Source organism: Homo sapiens, chromosome 6, assembly GCF_000001405.40.
Source record: "Homo sapiens chromosome 6, GRCh38.p14 Primary Assembly".
Lineage (NCBI taxonomy): Eukaryota > Metazoa > Chordata > Mammalia > Primates > Hominidae > Homo > Homo sapiens.
The window spans coordinates 35,622,755-35,637,350 of NC_000006.12; the positions used below are offsets into that span (position 1 = coordinate 35,622,755).

At 40.1% G+C, this 14,596-nt stretch overlaps 1 protein-coding gene across 4 annotated transcripts in view; it reads right to left on the bottom strand.

Annotated features, from left to right (window-relative positions):
• Positions 1-14,596, bottom strand: part of FKBP5 (FKBP prolyl isomerase 5) — a 154,994-nt gene that overhangs the window by 49,165 nt on the left and 91,233 nt on the right. For all 4 annotated transcript variants that reach the window (NM_001145775.3, NM_004117.4, NM_001145776.2 and 1 more), the window contains one exon: positions 14,260-14,404. In NM_001145775.3, coding sequence (NP_001139247.1) covers positions 14,260-14,404 — 145 coding nt within the window. The remainder of the gene's footprint in view (positions 1-14,259; positions 14,405-14,596) is intronic.

Below are 14,596 nucleotides of genomic sequence, written 5' to 3' on the forward strand. Positions count from 1 at the left end.
GAAAGGAGGATGTACATTTTAGAGGTCAAAAATGCAGCATACTCTAACTTCAGAATACCTGGATTTGAATACCAAGTTTGCCCTTTACTATCTGTGTAAACTTGTGCAAGTTATTTAATCTCTGTGCTTAGTCTCCTCACCTGCAAAATGTAAATAATAACAGTACTTGCCATATATTAATAGTTGTTTTAAGAATTATTAGATAAGGCCGGGCGTGGTGGCTCACGCCTGTAATCCCAGCACTTTGGGAGGCTGAGGCGGGCGGATCACAAAGTCAGGAGATCGAAACCATCCTGGCTCACACGGTGAAACCCCATCTCCACTAAAAATACAAAAAATTAGCCAGGCGTGGTGGCTAGCGCCTGTAGTCCCAGCTACTCCGGAGGCTGAGGCAGGAGAATGGCGTGAACCCAGAAGGAGGAGCTTTCGGTGAGCCGAGATAGCGCCACTGCACTCCAGCCTGGGCGAAAGAGCGAGACTCCGTCTCAAAAATAAATAAATAAATAAAGAGTTATTAGATAAAACACATCAAATGCATGGCACGGTGCCCGGCACATAATATGTATTTGATAAAGGAAAGACATCATCATCATAATAAATGCAAATAGACCTACCTCATTCTTAATGGGTGTATAATACTACAATCTTCTATTGATGCATATATTACCAACAGTAATCTAATGAGACTACTTGTCCATGTATGTTTGCCTACTTTGCATAAGTATATTTGGAATGTAAATTCCTGGAAGTGCAAAGGTGATATGCATTTTAAATTTGATAGTTATTGCCCAACTGTCTTTACGAAATGGCTACATCACTTTTTTTTTTTTTAAGAGACAGGGTCTTGCTCTGTCACACAGACTGGAGTGCAATGATGTGAGTATAGCTTACTGCAGCCTCAACCTCCCAGGCTCAAGCGGTCCTCCCACCTTAGCCTCCCAAGTAGCTGGGACCACAGACATGTACCACCACATTGGGCTAATTTTCTTTTCTTCTTCTTTTTTTTTTTTTTGTAGACAGTCTCACCATGTTGCCCAGGCTGGTCTTGAGCTCCTGGGCTCAAGAGAATCTCCTGCCTCTGCCTCCCTAGTAGCTAGGACTACAGGTGAATACCACCATGATTTTCTGTAGATATGGAGTCTTGCTACATTGCCCAGGTCGGTCTTGAACTCCTAGCCTCAAGTGATACTTCTGCTTCAGCTTTCCAGAGTGCTGGGATTACAGGTGTGAGCCATTGCATCAGCCCAGTTTTTTTCCTTTTTAAGAGACAGGGTCTTGCTATGTTGCTCAGGCTGGACTCAAACTCCTGGCTCAAGTGATCCTCCCACCTCAGCTTCTGAGTGGCTGAGACTACAGGCACCTGGCTTCAACTGATTCTTAACAAGAGTTTGAGAAAGAAAAAGCCTCCCCAACGTCTGGAAACTGCTTGAACACTTACAGCTGGACCTCAGTGCTGTTTGAAGCTGGCCTAGGGATCATAGGGAGGCCATATTATTCTCCTGTGGGACATAAACAATCTCGCAAAATATCAACATGAGACAAGGTCACTCTGAGACTGTGTTCAAGTGAGACAAAACAAAAATACTTCAAAATTTTGTCTGGCCGGGCACGGTGGCTCACGCCTGTAATCCCAGCTACTTGGGAGGCTGAGGCAGAAGAATTGCTTGAACCTGGGAGCTGGAGGTTGCAGTGAGCTGAGATCACGCCACTGCACCCCAGCTCCATTTCAAAAAAGAAAAAAAATTTTTTTTTTGTCTAAGCCCAGAGGAAAAAAACAAGGTCACTGAGCATTTTCACAAAATACCAAACATCCCCCTCTCCTGGCTAATATGAGTGACTGCTGCTTCTCTACCAGTTCTAGCTTTGGTCTCACTCTACTCTAGTTGGCCCACGTCCTAATAAGATTTATTAAGATACCCAAACATCAATCACCCCACATCCTAACAGCATCCAATCGAGAAAGCTCTGCTTTCTTAAACTCCCCAAAATCACCTAATACAAGCACAAGTCCTATAAAATATTCCTCCTAACACTCTTACTGAGATACTCCACAGTTCGCATGGTGTGCATCCTCCCTCACAAGTAATGAACCAACGTGTTCAACTATAGGTGTGTTCCTAGTGGTCTGTGGCTGCAGGGCACTGACAAGGCCCACTCACTGACGGGAGCAATGTGTGAGACCACACCACAGAACAAGAAACCAGTTGTATCATTCAGTATATATGCAAACAGAATGGAGAGCATCAATTAGTCTGGAGAGGGTTAAGCAAGCTTCTACACATTTCCTTAGGTTAAATTCCTAGATGTAGAATTACTGGACCAAAAACATAAATATTTTCTTCTTTTTGAGACACGGTCTCACTTTGTTGCCCAGGCTGGAGTGCAGTGGCACGATCTTGGCTCATTGCAACCTCTGCCTCCTGGGTTCAAGCAATTCTCGTGCCTCAGACTCCCAAGTAGCTGGGATTACAGGCACGTGCCACTACGCTTAGGTAATTTTTGTATTTTTTGGTAGAGACAGGGTTTCACCACGTTGGTCAGGCTGGTCTCAAACTCCTGACCTCAAGTGGTCTGCCCACCTCGGCCTCCCGAAGTGCTGGGATTACAGGTGTGAGTCACCATGCCCAACCCCCAAAGCATAAACATTTTAAAGATTCTTCATCTTCAGGATCTCAGTCATAGGTAACATACACCAAGAATAGGCCGGTGCAGTGGCTCACGCCTGTAATCTCAGCACTTTGGGAGGATGAGGTGGGCAGATCACGAGGTCAGAGGATTGAGACCATCCTGGCTAACACGGTGAAATCCCGTCTCTACTAAAAATACAAAAAATTAGCCGGGCGTGGTGGTGAGTGCCTGTAGTCCCAGCTACTCGGGAGGCTGAGGCAGGAGAATGGCGTGAACCCGGGAGGCGGAGCTTTCAGTGAGCCGAGATTGCGCCACTGCACTCCAGCCTGGGCGACAGAGCAAGACTCCGTCTCAAAAAAAAACACACCAAGAATACATAATGTCAATTTATTTATTTATTTATTTATTTATTTTTGAGATGGAGTCTCGCTCTGTCGCCCAGGCTGGGGTGCAGTGGCGCTATCTCTGCTCACCGCAAGCTCCGCCTCCCGGGTTCACGCCATTCTCCTGCCTCAGCCTCCCGAGTAGCTGGGACTACAGGCGCTAGCCACCACTCCTGGCTAATTTTTTGTATTTTTAGTAGAGATGGAGTTTCATCGTGTTAGCCAGGATGGTCTCGATCTCCTGACCTCGTGATCCGCCTGCCTCAGCCTCCCAAAGTGCTGGGATTACAGGCGTGAGCCACCGTGCCTGGCCACGTCAATTTATTCTTACACTTGATCTGGACTTCAGTTTTACTAGCTTATACACAATTTATCAATTTCAGGAGTCTTATTCCATTTGTAATAAAATATAAAACAAGAATATATATGTATACAAATGTATAATATAGCTATTACTAAATTTAAATGCTTTTTATACGTATGTAACTATAGGCAGGTGAAAAAGTTTAAAAGCATACAAAGCCCAGTATAAAAGCAATGCATTATACTTTTTCTTCCTTCTGTAATGTTACACTTTTTTCTGGTTTAAAAAAATTATATAACATATTTTAAGATACAACATTTTAATCACTTAACAGTTTCATTTATAGTAAAGACTATAGTGACCACTTCAGAACATTCTGACTACATAATGTTTTCTCCTTGAGTTTTAAAAAAAACGCTTAATTGTGGGGGGATAAAAAAAAGCATTTACCATCTTAGCTATTTTAAAGTGCACAGTTCACTATTTTTAAGTATATTCACATTGTTGTGCAACCAATCTCCAGAACTTTTTCATCTTGCAAAACTAAAATTTTATACCCATTAAGCATTTCCTCCTTCCCTAATCTTTGGCAACTTCTATTCTACTTTGTTTTTATGAATTTGACTACTCTGGATAGATAACTCATATAAGTGGAATCAGACAGTACTTTTCTTTTTGTCACTGGATTACTTCACTTAGTATAATGCCCTCAAGGTTCGTCCATGTTGTAGCATCTGCCAGAATTTTTCTTTAAAACGTAAATATTCCACTGTACGTTTATATCACATTTTGTTTATCTATTCATCTATTGAAGGACACTTGAGTTGCTTCCACCTTTTGGTTGCTGTTAATAATGCTGCTACAAACATGAGTGTACAAATATCTCTTCAAGACCCTGCTTTCAATTCTGTTGGTTATATGCCCACAAGTAGAACTGCTAGATCAACATGGTAACTCTATTTTTAATTTTTTGAGGAACTTCCATACCGTTTTCCACAGCAGCTGCACTATTTTACATTCCCACCAACAGCGCATAAGGGTTCCAATTTCTCTACATCCTCATCAACACTTGTTGTTTTCTCTTTTTTTAACAGTACCCATTCTAACCGGTATGAGGGTAATACTTCACTGTGGTTTTGACTTGCATTTCCCTAATGATTAGTGATGTTGAACATCTTTTCATATGCTTGTTGTCCATTTTTATATCTTCTTTGGAGAAATTTCAAGCCCTTTGCCCAGTTTTTAAAAAGTTTTTAGAGACAGGGTATCGCTATGTTGCCCAGACTGGTCTTGAACTCCTGGCGTCTAAGTGACCCTCCCACCTAGGTCTCCCAAAATGCTGGGATTACAGGTATGGCCACTGCAACTGGTCCTTTACCCATTTTTAAATTGGGCTATTTTGTTGTTTTTGTTGAGTTATAGGAGTTGTTTGTGTATTCTGGGTATTAATCCCTTATCAGATATAAGATTTGCAAACATTTTTCTCCCATTCCATAGGCTGCCTTTCATTCTGTTACTGTTTGATGCACAAAAGTTTTTAATTTTGATGTATTCTAATTTATGTTTAATTTATGATGTACAGTAATTTATGTTTAATTGTTTTACTTTTGTTGCCTGTACTTTTGATGTCATGCCAAGAAACCACTGCAAAATCCAATGTCATGAAGCCTTTCCTCCATATTCTTTATCTTTTCTTTTTTCTTTTTTTTGAGACATAGTTTCGTTCTTGTTGCCTAGGCTGGAGTGCAATGGTGTGATCTTGGCTCACTGCAACTTCTGCCTCCCGGGTTCAAGCGATTCTCCTGCCTCCACCTCCCAAGTAGCTGGGATTATAGGCATGCGCCACCATGCCCAGCTAATTTTTTTTTTTTTTTTTTTTTTTAGTAGAGACGGGGTTTCACCATATTGGTCAGGGCTGGTCTTGAATTCCTAACCTCAGGTGATCCGCCCGCCTCGGCCTCCCAAAGTGCTGGCATTACAGGTGTGAGCCACTGTGCCCGGCCTTCCTCCATATTCTTATGGGAAGGTTTCTAATGCAAGGTTTAGATCTTGCATTTAGGTCTTTGATCCATTTTGAGTTAATTTTTGCAGATGGTGTAAGATAAGGACCCAATTTCATTCTTTTACATGTGGATATCTAGCTTTTCCAACACCATTTGTTGAAAAGACTGTTCTTTCTCCCACTGAATGGTCTTGGCACCCTTGTTGAAAAATCACTACCTTTTAAATGTACATTTACATTTGAATATGAGCATCTTGAACACACTATAGGATGAAAGCTACACCATATCATACAGAAAAAAAATTACTTTTTCATATGGGAGTAGAAAAGAACAAGAAAGGTAAATATTTTAACTGTAAAAGATTTCCTTTCAAAATATAAAAGCTGACAAACAAGGTTAATCACTAATAAGCTTCAGGTAATAAAAATGCATCTGATTCATTCCTGCTTCACCTTCCTTGAGGGATTCCTAGGACTCAGTACCAATTTCTGATCTCTATTTTAACTACTTGCATATTCTGCTAATTTTTATGTTAAAAATAAGAAAAACCTCATATAACAGATAATACAGAAATCCTTTCTTCTTTTTATACTAAATAAAGCAAATTATTTTTCCTGTATACCTTTTCCTCATATATTTTAGGTTTTTTTGTTTTTGTTTTTTTGAGATGGAATCTTGCTCTGTCGCCCAGGCTGGAGTGCAATGGCACAATCTCGGCTTACTGCAACCTCCACTCCCAGGCTCAAGTGATTCTCCTGCCTCAGCCTCCCCAGTAGCTGGGATTATAGGCATGTGCCACCACACCAGCTAATTTTTGTATTTGTAGTAGAGACAGGGTTTCACTATGTTGGCCAGGCTGGTCTTGAACTTCTAAACTCAGGTGATCTGCCCGCCTCGGCCTCCCAAAGTGCCGGGATTACAGGCATGAGCCACCACGCCTGGCCTAGTTTTATTTTAAAATAGCTATAAAAGGGCTCTAATAATCATCCCTACTCCCTACCAATAGTAACTAATCATGAATTAAACAAATTAATTTATGTATTTTGTTTTGAGTCAGTGTCTCGCTCTGTCACCCAGGCTGGAGTGAAGGCATGTGATCATAGCTCACTGCAGCCTGGACCTCCTGGGCTCCAGTGATCCTCCCATCTCAGCCTCCTGAGAAAGCTGGGACTATAGGCGTGCACCACCACGCCTGGCTAATTTTTGTATTTTTTGTAGAGATGGGGTTTCACCATGTTGTCCAGGCTGGTCTTGAACCCTTGGGTTCAACTGATCCTCCTGCCTTGGCCTCCCAAACTGCTGAGATTACAGTAATTTATGTTTAAGACTCTTTTAAAGTGTTCATATCTTATGTTACATTGTATTTTTGTCATTTCTCTAACTACTAAGAGAACTAATCACAGGATAATCCCTCCCCACCTTCATGGCTTATAATTAAAACAAACAAACAAACAAACAGGGAAAGAAAACAGATATGGTAGCATTATCTGTCCTGGGACAGCCTTAAGGATCAACTCTGCCAGACTAAATTGTTACATACTTGAAGGTAGGGGTCATGTTTTAATTACTCTTTGCAAAGAACTATAGCACCACAACACTGTACTCAAAAAGAGAACAAAGGCATGATGTAATATCGAATTTAAATGGAGTGAGAAATTTGCTCAGCTTTCCACAGCCTAAATCAGCTCCTCCCTGATATCCACTCAGCAGTGGAAATTGGAAGCATTCCTCCTCTATCGCAAAGTACCAGGAAAAACCAAAGTAAGTACTTTCTTAAAGTTTGCTGTCTTTCTGGCTCACACTTTTGGGGACAATTAAAAAAATTAAATATTTTAGCCTAAAAGCTTTCCTTAAAAATCTCCTGAATGCTCCTAAACTGCATGTAAAAAAAAGTAAACAGATACTAAGAATATATTGGCTGAGTGCAGTGACTCATGCTTGTAATCCCAGCACTCTGGGAGGCTGAGGCAGGAGGATCACTGAAGCCTAGGAGTTCAATGCTGTAGTGAGTTATGATGGTGCCATTGCATTCCAGCCCCAATAACAGAGCAAGTCTCTGGAGAGAAAGAGAGAGAGAAAGAGGGAGGAGGAGGAAGAAAGAGAGAGAGAGAGAGAGAGAGCGAGCGAACACAAGCGCCAGTGCTTTTGATAAACCTTACTATGACATATCATTACTGGTAAGAAATGTCTACTGTGGCTGGGTGCAGTGGCTCACCCCTGTAATACCAGCACTTTGGGGGCCAAGGCAGGCGGATCACGAGGTCTGGAGATTGAGACCATCCTCGCCAACATGGTGAAACCCCGTCTCTACTAAAAATATAAAAATTAGCCAGGCATGGTGGTGCATGCCTGTAATCCCAGCTACTCAGGAGGCTGAGGCAGGAGAATCACTTGAACCCGGGAGGCAGAGGTTGCAGTGAGCCGAGATCGTGCCACTGCACTCCAGCCTGAGTGAGAGCGAGACTCCGTCTCAAAAAAAAAGAGAAATTTCTACTGTATATCAGGCACTCGATAAATACTGCTAACCAGGACCTACTTCATTTCTGTACCTGGTTTGGGCTATGTTTTAAACCTTAAGATCTAACATAACTTAAGAAAGACTACCTGGATTTGAATCCTGGCTCTGCCACTTACTGTATAGCCTTGGGCAATTTACCGAGCTTCTCTGTACCTTAGTCTGTAATATAGTAAACAAAAAATCACATCAAACCAAAAATGGTTAATAACAGTAGGTAACCAAACCATAAAAGAAAAAACTGATAAAGCTGACTTAATCAGAAGTAAAAACTTTTACTTTTCCGAAGACCAATTAAGAAAATAAAAAGGCAAGATAGACTGGGAGATCATATTTGCCAAAGTGCTTGTCCTTTTAAGTACAACTCAGTAAGACAAACAACTGATGTTTTAAAATGGGCAGAAGATCTGAACAGACACTTTACAAAAGAAAACATACAAATGCCCACTAGGCACAAGAAGAGAGACCCTCAATCATCACTAGTCATCAGGGAAATGCAAACAAAAACCAAGGTGAGATACTACTTCATACTTACTAGAATGGCTAAAGTTAAAAAGATCGACAATACTACGTGTTAATAAGGATATGAAAAACTGAATAGCCCCAAATTGCAAACAACCAAATGTCCTATTTTTGAATGGGTGAACAAACTGTGGCATTCCCAAATTGTGGAATACTTCTCAGGAATTCAACATGCATGAATCCCAAAGTCATTATGTTAAGTGAAAGAAGTCAACACCAAAGATAATACAAGATTCTGTTTATATGAAATTCTACAAAAGGCAAAATTATAGTAACAGAAACCAAGTTAGTGACTGCCTGGGGCTCAGGGTCCAGGAAGGAAAGTGACTGCAAAAGGACATAAAAATACTTTTTAGGGTAAAGAAATTGTTTTATATTTTGATTGTGGTGGTAGTTACAGAAATATTATCAAAATTCATCAAACTATATACTTAAAAGGGTAAACTTTATTATACGTAAATAATACCTCAATAAAAAAACCAAAGTGGCTTCGACACAAATATTAATATGATTGTCACCTAAATTATACTAATTGTACAAAGAATCCAAAAAATAGTAAGATTGAGGCTGGGTGTGGTGGCTCACGCCTGTAATCTCAGCACTTTGGGAGGCCGAGGTGGGTGGATCACGAGGTCAGGAGATCAAGACCATCCTGGCCAACATGGTGAAACCCCATCTCTACTAAAAATACAAAAATTAGCCAGGCATGGTAGTATGCACCTGTAGTCCCAGCTACTCAGGAGGCTGAGGCAAGAGAATCGCTTGAATCCGGGAGGCGGAGGTTGCAATGAGCGGAGATCACGCCACTGCACTCCAGCCTGGGCGACACAGCAAGACTCTGTCTCAAAAAAAAAAAAAAAAAAAAAGGGTAGAAATAATTCTTTCATCCTCCAAATCTATTGCCCTCTTCCATTTTAGTGAAAATATATTTGCTGGGGGGAGTAGGGTAAAAGAACAGAACCCCTATTATAGAAGTATGTATGAAAATCCTTGTTCTTAATTCAGCTTCTTTTTAAATGGGCTATGACCAGTTCTAATAATTCACAACCTCTAATATTTAGTTAAGAAAACCTAGTAAGAGAAATCATCACCTCTTCACTCTAATTTCTGTAACATATTCCACAGTAGTAATAATCAGTTCCCTTAGATTGATTCTGTCTTTCCCAACTTCCTGGGGCTAAGCAAGATGGCTGAGCATTGTTTCCAAGGTTTGTACGCATGCATAGTCAACAGATGAAGTCAGGACCCAAGATGTTATAACACAGCTTTTACCATTCCATTATAAAACCAGTGAAAAATCCTAACACTGCCACAATAATAATCAACATCTGAGTGCTTACCATTTGTTAGGCTGAATGCTAGGCGATGGTGTACATTATCTTAATCCTCAACATAATAATATATACTTATATAATCATATATAATATATGTAGTATATATGATTATCATAACCTTAGATGAAGAAAGTAAAGAATAGAGTTTAAAAGATGGTACGGCTAGCCAGGCGCGGTAGCTCATGCCTGTAATCCCAGCACGTTGGGAGGCCAAAACGGGTGGATCACCTGAGGTCAGGAGTTCAAAACCAGCCTGGCCAACATGGTGAAAGTCCGTCTCTACTAAAAATACAAAATTAGCCAGGTGTGGTGGCGCATGCCTGTAATCCCAGCTACTTGGGAGGCTGAGGCAGGAGAATTGCTTGAACCTGGGAGGTGGAGGTCACAGTGAGCTGAGATCATGCCATTGCACTCCAGCTTGGGCAACAAGAGTAAAACTCCGTCTCAGAAAGAAAAAAAAAAAAAGAAAAGAGAAAAAGATGGTATGATAAAAGCAACAGACATACACAAAGCAAAAGACATATACAAAGCAAGTGTAGGTATAGCTTGAATTTGTGTATTTTATGATATGTTTATCTTTTCAATGGGATTTTTACAGATAGGCTCTTATAGTTCTATGTTAAATACTGAAGTCATACTAGAATCCCCAAATTAGGATGACTTTCCATTGAAATATTTCTATTTATTCCCTTGGGAGAGGTACAATATAAGGGATCAATGGAGTTCAATGAATAATATTTATACTACTGTCCATTTATATTATTTTCTTCATTTTGATAAACTACCTAATGCTATAAAATATAAGTATAAAACTATAGTCTGGGCACAGTGGCTCATGCCTGTAATCCCAGCACTTTGGGAGGATAAGGCAGGCGGATCACCTGAGCTCAAAAGTTCGAGACCACCCTGGGCAACATGGTGAAACCCTGTCTCTACTAAAACACAAAAAATTAGCCAAGCGTGGTGGGGCGCGCCTGAAGTCCCAGATACTGGGGAGGCTGAGGCACGAGAATCACTTGAGCCCCAGAGGCAGACGTTGCAGTGAGCCAAGATCACGCCACTGCACTTCAGCTTGGGCTACAGAGTGAGATTCCATCTCAAAAAAAAAAAAAAAAAGGAAAAAAAAAACCCCACAAAACTATAAACTGCCTAACCAATGTTTCTTGTTTTGTAGGCAACTAAATACGTTATGTTATAGATGTTTTACCAGAGGTATATTGCTCTATCCTAGTATTTCCAATTACCATCTTAAGGAGGCCTCTAAGGGTCTCTTTGTGTTGGTATTAGTCTTTTATGGTTTTTGTTCCCGCATTCTTTACAGAAGGAACAAGAATGGAATCACATAAGCTCTCCACAGACTTCTTTTTACAGAAGCAGGTAAGATTAAGTGGCTTACTCATGTTAACACACCACAAGGAACAGGGAAGACAGGAACCCTGGCTTCCTAATGCCCGGCTGGAAGCTTTTTCCATGAGACCGCACTGACTCTAGACAGGTGTGTCAGAGGTACAAAGTCAACTGAAAGTTGCCTCTTTTTTTCTCCCAACTTGTATTTAAAAAAAATAACTCAGAAAATCTTCTTACTCTGCTTAAAATTCCAGGAAACTCATTCACCATAGTGTTTTACTGAGAAAATCTCAGTAGAGAAGATACCAATATAAATTCTCAACAATTCTTAATTCTGCTCACCAAGATAACTGCTAAAAGGACCTGTTATCTTAACTCTCAGCTTCTTTAAGACAGGAATTCTAAGGATAGAGTAAGGATTTAGCAGGTGGCAGGAACAAGGGGGTCTGACAAGGTCAGTCACTCTTAGGTCACCTAAATAATGATGCCACACCCATTCTGGCAGCCCTGGAGGTTCATATGCCTAAATCAACAACAACAACAACAACAAAATTCTAAAATAACTGTCATAATTATCTGCCACAAGACTGTATTTGATTTTTACTGCTATCTTATTCAAACAAAAAATTAATATCTCATGAGCCATTAACCTACTAAAGACCCAAAGGAGAAGAGAGCAGGGGCGTGGCCAGAACTGGAGCTTGGAAAGAGCACAGCTGGACGGGAAGCAGAATTCACCAGGCACACAAATGATACAGGAAGCAGGGAAGGCTGAGTGGCAAGAGACAGAAAGTAACTCCTCAGTTTCTGCTTACTATATTTCCTTTCCAGATCCATGCTTAGTTAGCAATTCAACTAGATACAGAGCTGAAGGACAAGGGAATGAAGTCCACACATAGCCATGGTGGTGAATAGGGGGAATACTTCTTTTTTCCCTAATCTAGGAACAAACTACAGTTGCTTGTCTGTGGCAGACAAGAATAAAAGATGTAACTCAGCCACCAACTTCCAATAAGCCACATGTTCTACAAAGTTTAATTTGATGTATGGGCTATTATTCCTACAAGATTAAAAAATAAGAACATTAAATGAACTAAAGACATTTAACAGCATTTGAGGCCAGGTGTGGTGGCTCATGCCTATAATCCTAGCACTTTGGGAGGCTGAGGCGGGCAGATTGCTTGAGCCCAGGAGTTCAAGACTAGCCTGGGCAACATGGTGAAACCCTGTCTCTACAAAAAAAAAAAAAAAAAAAAAATTAGGCTGGGCATGGTGGCTCATGCCTGTAATCCCAGGTGTTTGGGTGGGCTGAGGTGGGCGGATCACTTGAGGTGAGGAGTTCATGGCTAGCCTGGCCAACATGGCAAAGCCCCATCTCTACAAAAAACACAAAAATTAGCCAGGCGTGGTGGTGTACGCCTGTAGTCCCAGCTACTTGGGGGGCTTAGGCATGATAATCTTGCTTGAACCTCGGAAGTGGAGGCTGCAGTGGGCCGAGATGGTGCTACTACACTCCAGCCTGGGCAACAGAGCGAGCCAGACATGGTGGCATGCACCTGTATTCCCAGCTATTTGCGGGGCTGAGTTGGGAGGATCACTTGAGCCTGAGAGGTTGAGGCTACAGTGAGCCGGCCCGGGTGACAGATCGAGACCCTGTCTCAAAAAAAAAAGGCATTTGAAAATAATTTAGTAAAAATCATACTTAATACTTGAAAATAGTAGTTCTCAACCTTTTTTCCTCAGGACCCCTTAACATCTTAAAAATTGAGGACTCCAAAGAACTTGTTTATTTGACATATCTACTGAGATTTAGTAAAAAAGTAGTTATTTAATAATTCATTTTAGAATAACCCCATGTTAATATAAGTAATTTAATTTTGTACAAAGTATTTGTATATTTTGTATTTTCCAAAATAAAAAAAAAATTAGTGAGACGAGTGTCATTGTTTTAGAATGTTATACATGTGGAAATGTGTTTGACTTGTAACACGAGACAACCAGATTCTCCTATTTCTGCATTCATCTGTTGCAATTTTGGTTGAAGTACATAGAGAAGAAAATCCAAACCCACAAAGATAGATAGTTGAAAAGGGTAGGAGCCCTTTAACAACCTTTTAGATAATTGTGAATATAATTATCTGATACTACATCAAAACTGTACAACTTGTAAGATTCATAAAAGTCAATTACAATGTGGAAACTGAAAGTGTATCAGTGAACTTTTCATACTGTTACATTAAAATCTGTTGGTCTAACTTTGAATGAATTGTTTATTCACACATGATCTTGTAACATCTTGCATTGGTCACTGAGAAAATATTCATTCTTAGTTATACAGATCTTCCAAATGTGGACACATTTCATTGTATATTTAAAACCACATTCATTAATACCCACCAATCTCATCAGAAAAGTCTTCGGAAGCTGTCAAGCCCACAGTGGCAAATAAGCCCACAGTGGCAAATAGGAGTTCTCCTAAACTATAATTTTTACTTGAAAACTTAATGGCAAAAAACATTGTCAGTTGTTTTTCCTTGAAGTGACAGACTTACTCCATTCATTCTCAGAAAAACACCTGCCAAATACTGAATCAAGTCTGCATAATCAGATTTGCCCTTTCAAGTAAAAATGGTATCTCATGAAATAAATGCAGTTAGTTCAGATCTCAACTAAAACAAGAGCACAAGTACTTTTCCTTGAGACAACCATCATACTTTGGGGGACAGAAGTGCTCTACACGTGCTTCCCTTTCTGTCACAGAATATCAAAGTGATGTGAAACTCAAAGATTGGGTTTCAATAAAACTAATAATTTTTACTGCTTTATCAGGACATTTTTACGTGAAACTAGCTTTTTCCCTTATGTAAATAGTGAAGGAGTGGCAGTGGAAAATACCATGACTACTGGAACAGCTGGTTACCACTGCCTTGATTTGTGTTAAGGAACCAGCAGTTTTTTTACAACTGCAGCTTTTGTACCATCAGTGCAAATAAATGTCAATACAGTAAAATGGCAAATAATATCTTAGTATTGTTATGAAAATAAATGACATTTGGGACCCCCTAAAAAGATCTCAGAGAGCCCTAGGGATTCTCAGACCATTCTTTGAGTACTACTACTCTAAAATTTCTTTACTTTTAGAAAGGATAGAATCCTCTGCTCCTATATATTACAAATAGTAATAAAGCTAAGTAAAACACAACTCAAAAAAATACCCTCTTACCTTTGCCAAGACTAAAGACAAATGGTTCATTTCTATCATGACTGGAATCAAACTTCTTTCCATTTGACAATTTTCCTTTGTAATGGACATAAACTTTGTCTCCAATCATCGGCGTTTCCTCACCATTCCCCACTCTTTTGACAATCTAGAAAAGACAAACATTAAGAAAAAGGAGGTCAAACTTTTTACTTGTAATCAGAGAATAAAAAGGTCACACAGTCCATCCCAAGACATCCAGGCAGATATGCAAATATACTATTATCCATTCTTTCTAATGCCTCCCTTCATTCCTCACAATAACTCATTGTTAGAAAACTGTCCTTTACCAACTTGTCTT